At 45.7% G+C, this 11,986-nt stretch overlaps 1 annotated feature.

Moving 5' to 3' along the window:
- Positions 10,664–10,881: a silencer, noted in NCBI's record as "fragment chr1:228947507-228947724 (GRCh37/hg19 assembly coordinates)". NCBI's record gives its function as "represses an EF-1alpha promoter that drives an FKBP-Casp9 reporter gene in an ReSE screen in K562 erythroleukemia cells {active_cell/tissue: K562}" and the evidence as "EXISTENCE:reporter gene assay evidence [ECO:0000049][PMID:32094911]".

Raw genomic sequence — 11,986 nt, forward strand, 5'->3', positions numbered from 1 at the left:
TTCTTCATAGAGAAATCATAGCCTTTCTGCAGCTCTGAACAAAAGGCAGCATTTCAGCTCTGTTCTGAGAGGCCATTTAAAACAGCAAAATCACCAATAAAAAGCACAAAAAGGCAAAAGATGTATTGTGTAACTAAATAGACCTTGAAAAGGATACTTGATGCAGTGTGACAGCTGAAACAAGCAGGCAGGGTGCCACCTTGTTCCACCTCAGCTAGGAATGTGTGCATTGAGCAACTCAAATTTTTCAGGGCTCTGTGCATTTCTGCAAATGACCATGAAAGCACCATGAGTATTAATTTTAGGGTTACAAACAAATTGTAGTGAGTAGGTAAATTTGCAAATATGGAATCCACAAATAAGGAAGATTGACCGTATATTTGACCCCATTCCCAGTCACCAGTTTAATCAGTTTTACATCCTTTATATCTTTAAAATTGGTCCACTTCTTTTTATCTATACCTTCCACACCTCAGTCCATCCCAACAAACCACTTCTTCTGGATTAACAGGTTGCAGTCAGCCCACATCAACTCCTGTACCTCTTTAGTCTATTTTTCACTGGTGGCAAAAGGGGAGGTTGGCAAAGAGGGCTGTGGAAAGAGATGGGGCAGTTGTTGAAGAGAGAGGAAATTTAGGTTAAAGAAGATTTTAAGGAAGTAGCCTCCTTTTCTCCTTTATCTTGTGTGTGTGTGTTCTTTGTGATAACCTGCTCAGACTAGTTGAAAGGAGAAGACTCAGTGTCACTTGAGTTATGTGTACAATATTAATCTATTTAACTGTCTCCATAACTCTATATGTAGATACTATTATTATGTCTTGTCTTAGTCAGCTCAGGCTGCTATAACAAACTAACATAAAATGGGTGGCTTAAATAAGAAACATTTATTGCTCACTGTTCTGGAGGCTGGGAAGTGGGAAGATCCAGGCACTGGCAGTTAATAATGTCTGGTGGGGGACTGCATCCTGGTGCGTAAATAGCCGCCTAGAGCTCCATTTGAGATTGTGTCAAATTCAGAGAAAAGCATTCAACCAGAACTCAGTGTAATGGACTGGGCTGGATGGAGTAAGCCAATGGCCCTTAGACATTAATGGAGCCTCGAACTCATTGTTTCATGTACAATAAAGGAAAACTTCAGATTTGATTGAACAAAGAACATTAGTTTCCTTATACCAACTTGGGAATCATTCTCAAAATGTGATATTTTGTTTAGTTATATGAATAAACATTATGTCTTCTGATGAAGGATGAACCTTAATATTTGGAGGGGAAAAAAGCTATCACACACTCTCACAACCCCCTACCAGCCTTTGGGCCTTGGGCTGAGGCCAAGGCAGCTGCCCTCAGGGCACAGCAGTGAGCCACTTGACCAGTTTATTCCCCCAGATAGGATTTTGTGCCTCTGGCTTTGAAGTGGAATAAGCACTTCCTATCTGACATGGAACTAGCAAACCAAGGGTCAGGCTTCGCCTGCTCAGAGGAATTAAAGTCGATTGAGAAACACAGCTCTGTTTCTTGCCAAGAGAATCTTGCCAAGAGAATCTTGTCAAGAAACAGCTTTGAAGCTTTCTTCCTCTATCAGAGCTGGAGACTTTGGTACATGGGGTTATCATCACTGCGGCAGCCAAAGCAGCCTCGCTTTGTCTCTAACCCTCGCATCCACACAGCAAAGAACACTTTGAACTGTGTTTTTTGCACGTCCGTGTGTGCCAAGATCTTGTGGGATCCCCTGTTTTTGAAACTAGGCCACTCTCCGATAAGGATGGAGACCTTGCTTCCCTGCTCCCACCAAACAGAGCTTTCTATTGCTGAGTTACAGTGAATACAAGGCGATTAAAACTACAAGCTAATTTATGCTCTCTTGGGAGGAATTAAGGAGATGAAGCAACTGCTTTCTGGGGAGGAGAAGCGATGTGTATTTTTATCTTGCACCACCTTTCACTCTCTAGTTCTGCCTTGTTCTCCACAAATCTGTGTTAAGGCCTCAGCAGGTGCCAGGCACAGCCTCATGGAGACAAAAGCAGCTCCATCTTGGATGCTCATCCGCCATGTTGACTCCTGATTAACCCCAGTTCAGGGAAGGCCTCTGAGATTTTTACTTTCATGTACTTACCTTAACTCCTGCCCTTATGTCAAAACAACCTTGATGTTATTGTAAACACACATTTCCCATACATCCTGCCCTTAGACAAATTCTATATGGTACATAGCCCTGGGTCGTAGGGGTAACTGAGCAGGGATCCACCATCTTGTCTTGTGGCTGCCTGAGATGTGGCCTCTGTTCGTAAAGTCCCTATTAAGTGTTTCTTTCTGAGAAACTAGATTTGTCAGCCTCTGTTTTCAACTTTTCAGCTTCTTTGGACTTTGGGGATAGTTTTGCATAGACCTACTTAGCAGGGCACAGCGACCCAAAGTGTGGTCCTGGCAGCATGGGGGACCATCCAGGCCCTCACAGAGGACACCCTTCCTCCTGGCGGTCTGGCTGCGGCTGCTGGACCTGGTGTTAGGAGATGGCAGTTTAACACACAGCACCTTAACCATCCATGGCTTGCCTTTTCTTTCACAACTTGTCCTCAGGTACAGAGGTCTTCAGAACTTGGTTCCTTTCCAAAAGCAGAGCAGTGTTTTGACACAGGAAAACGCAAGGTCCTTTATGCCTGGAAGAAAGCAGCTTTCTCCTGCCTCCTCCTTGATGCGGTTCCCAGCCACCGCCCCCAGGATGCTCACTCCCTTTTATGAGCTGAGAGAGGCAGACCTTAGGGCCTCCTCCAATAGTTAATATACATTTTTTATATTTTTAAAAATTAACCTATCATAGTTGTACATATTTGAGGGGAAGCATGTGATATTTTGATACATGTATACAACGTGTAATGATGAAATCAGGGTGACTGAGATATCCATCACTTCAAACATTTATCTTTTCTTTGTGTTGGAAACATTATAATTCTCTTTTAGCTATTTTGAAATATACCATAAATCATGGTAAACTATAATTTCCCTACTGTACTATTGAATACTAGAACTCATTCCCTCTATTTAACTGTGTGTTTTTACCTGTTAACCAAGTTCTCTTCATCCTCCCCTCCCTTCTTCCCTTCCCAGCTTCTGGTAACCACCATTCTACTCTTAATCTCCATGAAGTTCACTTTTTTAGATTTCACATAAGAGAGAGAAACATGTGATATTTGTCTTTCTGTTCCTGGCTTATTTCACTTAAATAATGACCTTCAGTTCCATTCATGTTGCTGCAAATGACAGGATTCTGTTCTTTTTAATGGCTGAATAATATTCCATTGTGTATATCAAATATTTCATCTTAACATAAAGTAAGCTGAAGTAAAGATAACTACCCTCAATCAGAGTCTAGAAACATGGCGACTGAGATTTGGGGGTAAGGAGAGCAGTGGAGGGTGGAAAGGTGTTGAGGTACCCTGTGCTTTGCCCACAGCTGGGGCTACACAGGCTGCCTTCTCTCCTTCCTCCTTAGGGTCTAGCACAGTCCTACCTGGCCAGATGCAAGGTCACATTGCTAGCAGACACCCCCCTTCCTCCCTCTTTTCTTCCTCTTCTTCACCCCTCTCATTCTTCACCCTAGTAGCCACTGTGGGTGCCCAAGTCCTGCCTGGGTCCCTTGTCTCCACCTCAGGTGAGCTGGACCTGCTGTGGAGGTGAGCTGGACCTGCTGTGGAGGTGAGCTTTCCCGCTCTTTGGTAGGAAGGAGAAAGCACTGAGCAAGGAGCTGACTGATGGGCTTAGTTGCGAACATGCATGCTGGTCTCAGGCTAGTCTTTCTTTGTCTTCCTTTGCCTGTCCCTGTGAGCCAAGAGCCTTCACCACAGGTACTTGGGGTCAGCTGCAGGAGATTTCCTGGAACTCTGAACTTCTGGGTTTCAGTTTCTCTACCTGTCATATGAGAAGGAACCTGTTTGAGTCTCTCTCACAGCAGGCTGGTGTCTGCACGGAGGCTCTGAGGAGCTCATGGTCATGAAATCTGAGTGCCCCAAACCCACAGACGGAGACAGAGGCACCGCTTCCTGGAAGGCACAGTGAGAGCTGTTAAAATGCTAAACGACCAGGTCAAGCCTCCATATCCCTCGAGAGGCGTTTATGCATTTTACTGGAACACTCTGGCATGAAGCGTTCCCTGAAACAATTAAAAAGATAATGTACTCAGCCTGTGCTCTGTCTGTCTTTACTCTTTGTGCTTTTTCATGACGTTATCCATTCCCAGAACTCAGAGAGCCCCCTCTCCTCTTTCAGTTGACATTTGCTTGGCTGACTGACTCTCTTACTCGCTGTTTCCTTTCCTTTGGATGATTGACTTTTAGCATCATTTCAATGTCTATAACTAAATCAGCAAGGCTTCTAGGTCCAGCACTATAATTCTAAATTTCACTGCTACTACAAACATATCATGTCTGCCGACTGGACCAAGTGATTATAAGTCCCAATTAAACCCTAGGTTTTGCTTTTAAGCCAGTTTCAAGTCAGGCATTTATTCACAGTTGTCTGTAATATCAGGCACTGTGCTAGGCAAATGCGGCAGAAAGTGGCTGAGAAATGGTGCTCATTCTCCCAGAATTCAGAAGGTTTTGGTGAGACAGACAGATAATAGTTAATGAATTTAATGATGACAATGCAGTGATGATCAGTGACGAGCCGATGACTTGATAATGACAATCCATGTGATAAATACAATAGCAATGGTATCATAACGTGACGGGACAGTGAAGAGGAGAGAGTAGCCTAGGATAGGGCTGCACAGATGAGGTGATGTTTGCACCAGGCCTTAGAGGCTAAGGAATCTCAGCAGGGCAAGAAGAACTTCCAGAAAGGGGAGCATCCGTTCATTCATGGAACAAATATCTATGGGGAGTTTGCAGTGTTGCCTAAACAAAAATCAGGAAACCTGACGTGTGTGTTTTTGAAAAAAAATATTTATTACAGAAGTTTTTTGTTCTTTTTTTTTTTTTTTTTTTTTTTTTTTTGAGACGGAGTTTTGCTCTTGTTGCCCAGGATGGAGTGCACTGGTGGAATCTCAGCTCACTGTAACCTCTGCCTCCTGGGTTCAAGTGATTCTCCTGCCTCAGCCTCCTGAGTGGCTGGGATTACAGGCACCCACCACCACGCCTGGCTAATTTTGTATTTTTAGTAGAGACGGGGTTTCTCCACCTAGGTCAGGCTGGTCTTGAATTCCTGACCTCAGGTGATCCGCCCGCCTCGGCCTCTCAAAGTGCTGGGATTACAGGCTTAAGCCACTGCGCCTGGCCAGAAAATTTTAAACATACAAAAGTAGAAAGGCTAGTAAGATAAAGCCCCATATATACATCATCCAGTTTTAATCATGGTTCTTGTGGTCTCCATGCACTCACCCACTACAATTAGCTTCTGCTGTTTATTTCGAAGCAAGCCTCTGGCATCATATAATTTCATTCTTAATGTTTCACTAACAGGATGGTTTAAGTTGCGGAAATGTCAGTAGCATTAGTTGGACCTGGAGGCAAGATTTGTTGGGACAGAAAGAAGGAAGAAAAGTAGTGCTAGGACTGCCAGTTTCTCCCCAACATCCATTCATGCCCACCTTTGTATGGTCACAACTCCTGTATCATTTGGGTGGAAATATACCTAGCCTGCCTTATAGCAAGTTATGGTCATGTGACTGAGTTCTGGCTAACATGATATAAGTGAAAATTGTTGAGAAGGACTTCTAGGAAGGGCTTCCTAAACGGGGTATCAAAAGTCTAGAGAAGACTTCTACTCTTGTTATTTTTTATTTTTGCAAAGGTGGATCTGATGGCTGGAGCCCCAGCAGCCACCGTGGACCTGGCAGTAACCCTGAAAATGGAAACCAAGTACTGAGGATGATGGAAAAGAAAGTGCCTGATAACTTCATGGAAACACCGCATCATCTTTGGGCTGCCTCATCCGGAATTTTGTGTGATGGAAGAGATCATTGTGTGTTTAAGCCACTATTATTTGGGTTTTCTAATATATACAGCTAATGCTAACCCTAACAGAAGATAAAATGAGCCTTTTTAGATAAGTATGTGTCCTGCACTGGACAGAGAGTTTCTAAGAAACAGATAGAAGATTCTCAAAATTCCTAGCCAATTGTCAAGGAGAAAATGAAATAACCAGTTAATAGCTCTCTCATCTCAGTTATTTAGAACTGGCCAGGATCAAGGTGTCACCATTTAACTGGTAGCAGCTACCAGTGCTAGTACCAGCAAAGGTGACGTAGCATCCTAGAAAAGTAAAAGCACTTTTTTTTTTGAGACAGAGTCTCGCTCTGTCGCCCAGGCTGGAGTGCAGTGGCACGAACTTGGCTCATTGCAAGATCTGCCTCCTGGGTTCACACCATTCTCCTGCCTCAGCTTCCCAAGTAACTGAGACTACAGGCACCCGCCACTACACCTGGCTAATTTTTTCTATTTTTAGTAGAGACGGGGTTTCACTGTGTTAGCCGGGATGGTCTCGATCTCCTGACCTTGTGATCCGCCCGCCTTGGCCTCCCAGAGTGCTGGGATTACAGGCGTTAGCCACCGCGCCCAGCCAAGAGTGAAAGCATTTTTAAATTTTGCCTCTCCAGCTTCTTCTACTAACCAAATTTCACATGGTCATTTACTAATTAGACTCAAAGGAAACCAGCAGCTGCCTCACCAGAAGCTAATAAAATATAATGCAACTGTTCCCACTGATTCTGGACTGGTTTGTCAATCCATTGACCAGGTGAGTCTGAACCAGAGGTGGTTCCCGCCGCCTCAAATTGAAAAGTTATAGATCAACTTAATGAGAGCTCCTGTCTCCAGTTTTAGGTGCCGGCTGGAGGAAATGAAAGCTTAATTTGTGAGGAGGGCAAACAGCCACCCAGTGAGCATATAGGTGGTGAGAAGTTGCCGGGGCTCAGCCCAACAGGGGAGGGAACCTCGGCCTGAATGCAGGGTTTTCATGATGCAGGTCTTCACCAGAGTGCTGTCCTTCCACTTAGAGCTCTTCAGACAGCTGGTTTTATTTTGACTTAAGCCTTCTGCGGTGGGTGATTTTATGTGTCAGCTTTGCTGGTCCATGGTGCCCAGATATTTGGGCAAACTTCCACCTGGATGTTGCTTGTGAGGGTATTTTTTTAGATGAGACTGACATTTCAATCAGCAGACTTTGAGAAAAGCAGACACCTGCCATAATGTGGGTGGGCCTCAACCAATCAGATGAAGGGCTTAAAGGGAAAGACTGGGGTCCCCTGAAGAGGTAGGAATTCTGCCTCCAGACTGCCTTTGGACTCAAGACTGCAACGTCGACTCTTGCTGGAATTTCCAGTCTGCCACCCCTCCCTACAGTTTATGAACTTACCGGGCCCCACAAGCATATAAGCCAGTTCTTTAAAATAAATCTCTCTCTATACATGTACACTCTATCAGCTCCATTTCTCTGAAAAGCTGTGACTAATACACCTTTGCATAAGAAAGAAAACTAAAATAATATTTTATTGACCTGATTGGGCTCTAGTAGGAACAGGAACAGACCTGAGAGGACAGGTGGCTGTCAGTGCCCACAGCCAGTGTACAGCTTCTGCATACAGAAACTCTTAAAAATGCATGAGTTTGGCACAGAACTCTGGGAGCAGCCAATTGCTCTGTGACCCTGAGCAAGTCACTTCCCTTATCTAAGCCTCAGTCTTCTCATCTATACGATGAAGATAATATCTGTTTTATAAAGAAATATGTTCTTGTGGGAATTGGAAGATATAAAGTTTTTGACACAGTGCTTGGCACATGGAAAGGCTTACTAATTCCTAATAATTGCTCTGTAGGGATTTATACTTAAATGAAGTTTGCTTCAATGATGAGTGAGAACTGATAGGGGCTCCTGTAAAAAGATCCAAGGAGGTTAAGTTTGGCCAAGAGTTCTGAGATAAGGAAGAGGTTGGTCAAAAATGAAGTGGAAGAGAATGAGAAAGAAAAGGAAGAAGAGGAGGAAGACAGAATGATGGAGTGAAAGATACAAACACAGACCCAGCCGGAGGGGGGCATTCCACCTGCACCACCTGCAGTGCAGCAGGGGATGAAAATGTTTAGGTCATCGAATCATTGATTCTGACCTGGAAGAGATGTTAAGAAATTATGCAGTGTAGCCTCTTCATGCAAGTTAAGTATTATTTTATTATTTCCATTTTGTAAAAAGACAAAAGATGCACAGGAATTTAAATGTGTTTGGAGTTATCCTAAAAGCAATGGAAAACTATAGAGGAGTTTTAAGCAGGGCTATAACATGATCCAAATAACATTTTAGGAAGGTCTGCCTGCTTGCATTGGGAACAGCAAGAGAGAAAACAGGAAAGCCAGTTAGGGGCCCATGGTAAATATTGGAATAGTGATGATCTGAGTTAGAGAAGTATAGTGAGGAGATCAGAGTCGTTTTAGAGGCGTAATAAGCAGATATTGTCCAATGATGACCCAGCTGAGAAAATGACAACTGTATTCATTATGGGGCCTTGCTGACCCTGGGAGACTTCCAGCTATCAACAGGAAGTAAAGGACTCACCCAGGAGCACACCTTTCAAATGCAAACCAATCAATTCAGAGCTCCCGCTCCCAACCGCCTCCTATGTGGAGCTGTCACACTCTGGGACACTATCTCTTGCCTTAATCACCTCAGACAACCAGGGACAGCCCCTATGCCCCACAGCCCTGAAATTATTCAAACTAGCCAATTCTAAACCTGCCTGCCCTGCCCTGCCCTGCCCCACCCATTCCTTCTCTGTGTTGTGCTGTAACTCCTGTTTCTAGGAAACTGTGAACATAAACTTCTTTCTTCATGACAATCATTTCTGTGCCTGTGTCTCTCACCATAGCAGCTTAAAACAAAGCCCACATGCCCTCATGACACTAATGAATTTGTAGAGGCCCTGCATCAGTCAGGAGTGTATTCAACTTAAGAAAATGGAGCATGTGACCAGAAGCCTGAGGAGGTAGGCACTGTGTTTGGTTCAGAGGCGTGGTGAGGTCAGGGCTGGCCTCTGGGCCATCCTCTTGGAGTTTTTCCAGTGGTCAAAGGTGGCTGCTGCAGATGCTGGCAGGCAGGGGTGAAGCAGGTGAGGAATTTAGAACAATGCTGGAGGGAGGCAGCACTCTTGAAGGCTGTGAATTCCTAAGCAGTAGCTTGGCAACTTCACGGGGAGCTTGGGCTTATGTGCCGAAGGTGGGGAAGAGCCATTTGACATGAGAAAGTCAAGAGCAGGAGGCTGACCTGGTTTCGGGCGTCATTCTTACACATGGTCAAGTCACTTAGCATAATGGCAGGAATGGGGGCAGGTAAGGAAGAGGGTGGAGGAAGAGGATGACTGTGAGTCAGGTGCCTTTGGGAAGAAGGGTGGTGATCAGAAGATCCACAGTTGACAATGACAAAGAGGGCTTAGAGGGTGGCAGTCCTCAAGAGCATGCACCACAGTGGTACAAGGACAGGAGAGCAGTGAGGGGAGGCCCAGTGAGGTTCTGGGCACAGGTCACCAGGACAAAGTCATTAGTGTGCTCTTGGATGGGAGGGTGGGGACAGACAGTCCATGCAGGAACTTGGAGAGGAAGCACAAGGCCTCTCAGAATGCAGCTGTGGATTTGAGTCTTAGGGTCCAGGTTGGGGTGTCATCTTACAATGATACATTTAGATATTCTGAAATTTTAGGGGTTCCTTTTCCCAGCGGCAGGCATGTGCTGATGTCTTAGTCCATTCGGGCTGCTATGACAAAATACCATAGACTGGGTGGCTTATAAACAACAGAAAAAAAATTATTCCTCACTGTTCTGGAGGCTGGGATGTCCCCAAGATCAAGGCATCAGCAGATTTGGTGTCTGGGGAGGACAGGTTGCCTGGTTCATTGATGGCATTTCCTCACTGTGTCCTCGCATGATAGAAGGAGCTCTCTAGGGCCTCTTTTATAAGGGCACTAAACCCATTCACAAGGGCTCCACCCTGATGACCTCTTAATCATCTCTCCAAGGCCCCACCTCCTAATACCATCACCTTGGAGTTCGAATTTCAACGTAACATTCTTGGGGGTACATAAGCATTCAGACCACAGCATCTGGTCTTCTCCTTGTCTGTGTATAAGGAAGGGATGGCTTCATCCCTTTTATCTCTGGCCTCCCAGCTCTCAGCAGTTGTGCCTGCTGAGGCTGAGCATGTGAGGAGGACTGTATTGCAGAGCCTTTACTTGCTTCAGTTTACCTTGCTGGGCTGCCTTCTCTCTCAGTGCCTGCTTGAAACAAAAAAAGGGTGGCTGGGCTTTCTGAGCTGCAAACTGAAAGTGAAAAAAACAAAACAAAACACTTCTTGTTTTTTCTGCTTTGCTAAGAGACTCTTGGCCAAAAAACCTCCCCCCTTTCTCTGGGCTCTCTGTAAATCACAGCCAATGGTTCTTATTTCTGAGCCTTGGAAATGCGTGTTGGAGATGAATGGAGCTGCTGTCATCCCTGCATGAAAGATGGCAGCCCATAACTCTGCTTCAAGGTGTGTCGGACATTGCACGAGGCAGGAAAGTCATTGACCTGGACAAGCATCAGAGCCCCCACTGCCACCTTTGTCCTTTCTGGGCCCTCCTTTTCCCACTCAGTTGGCTGGGAAGCCACAAGGGGCCAAAGGGAGGCCAAGTGAAATCTGAAGGTCCTTGGGGGATTGCAGAGCGAGGTGGGAGATTTATAGCAGGCGTGGGATTATAGCTGGTCCATGTGGGGCCTGAGACACAGCAGAGGGGGTGGAGGAACCTCTTCTCCAGGGCAGCTGGATCCTTCTAGGGGCCAATGGATGCCTCAGTGCCCTGGCAGAGGAGGCGGAGTGGGCACCCATTTGGTCACTGTGGGAGTTTTCTTGTGAATGGCTTCTTAGGAGGTGGGGAGGAAGAAGTGTTTCCAGGCCTGGCGGCCGCATGCAGACATACACCGTTTTCTGGGGTTTCGGCCTTGTGCATCCAGGGAAAGCACATCATGGGACAGCTAACAGCTGGAGTTCTAAGGATCCGGGGAAGCCAAATCAGGGACTGGGATTCTCCCATAGGCTTACAAGCTGAGTCACCACTTTCCTCATTAGCCTTTTGGGCCTCCCTTTCTCCATCAACAGCCAGAACCCATCCTGCTGGGGACGGATGGGATGGATGGGCCTGATCGTGGGCCTCACTGGCAGAGGTCACTGGGACCTGCTGAGAAGGAGGGTCGGGTTCCTTCTGATGCGGTGCAGGGCTGGGGCAGAATTCAGTGCATTATTCGGTGTTCTTGAAGAGGACAATGGCAGGAAATAACAAGTACTGGTGAGGCTGTGGAGAAACTGGAACCTTTGCACATTGCTGGTAGAAATGAAAAATGGTGCAGCCACTGTGGAAAACAGCATGGTGTTCCTCAAAATAATTAGACATAGGGCCGGGCGTGCTGGCTCACACCTGGAATCCCAGCACTTTGGGACGCCAAGGAGGGTGGATCACGTGAGGTCAGGAGTTTGAGACCAGGCTGACCAACATGGCGAAACCCCGTCTCTACTAAAAATATGAAAATTAGCCAGGCATGGTGGTAAGCCTGTAATCCCAGCTGCTCAGGAGGCTGAGGTAGGAGAATCGCTTGAACCCACGAGGCGGAGGTTGCAGTGAGCTGAGATCGCGCCATTGCACTCCAGCCTGGGAGACAGAGCGAGACTCCGTCTCAAAAAAAACACAAAAAGTAGACATAGAACTGCCATATGATTCGGCTATTCCACATCAGGGTATATATGCAAAAAATTCAAAGCAGGGACACAGAGAGATATTTGTACACCCATCATAGCAGCATTATGTGCAATAGCTATGCAGGGAAGCAACACAAGTATCTATTGATTGATGAATGGATAAACAACATGATATGTCCATACAACAAAATATTATTCAGCCCCAAAAGGAAGAAAATGTTGACACATGCTACAACATGCAACTTGAGGACATTGTTAAATAAGCCAGTCACAAATATTGTGT

This window comes from Homo sapiens, chromosome 1, assembly GCF_000001405.40.
Source record: "Homo sapiens chromosome 1, GRCh38.p14 Primary Assembly".
Lineage (NCBI taxonomy): Eukaryota > Metazoa > Chordata > Mammalia > Primates > Hominidae > Homo > Homo sapiens.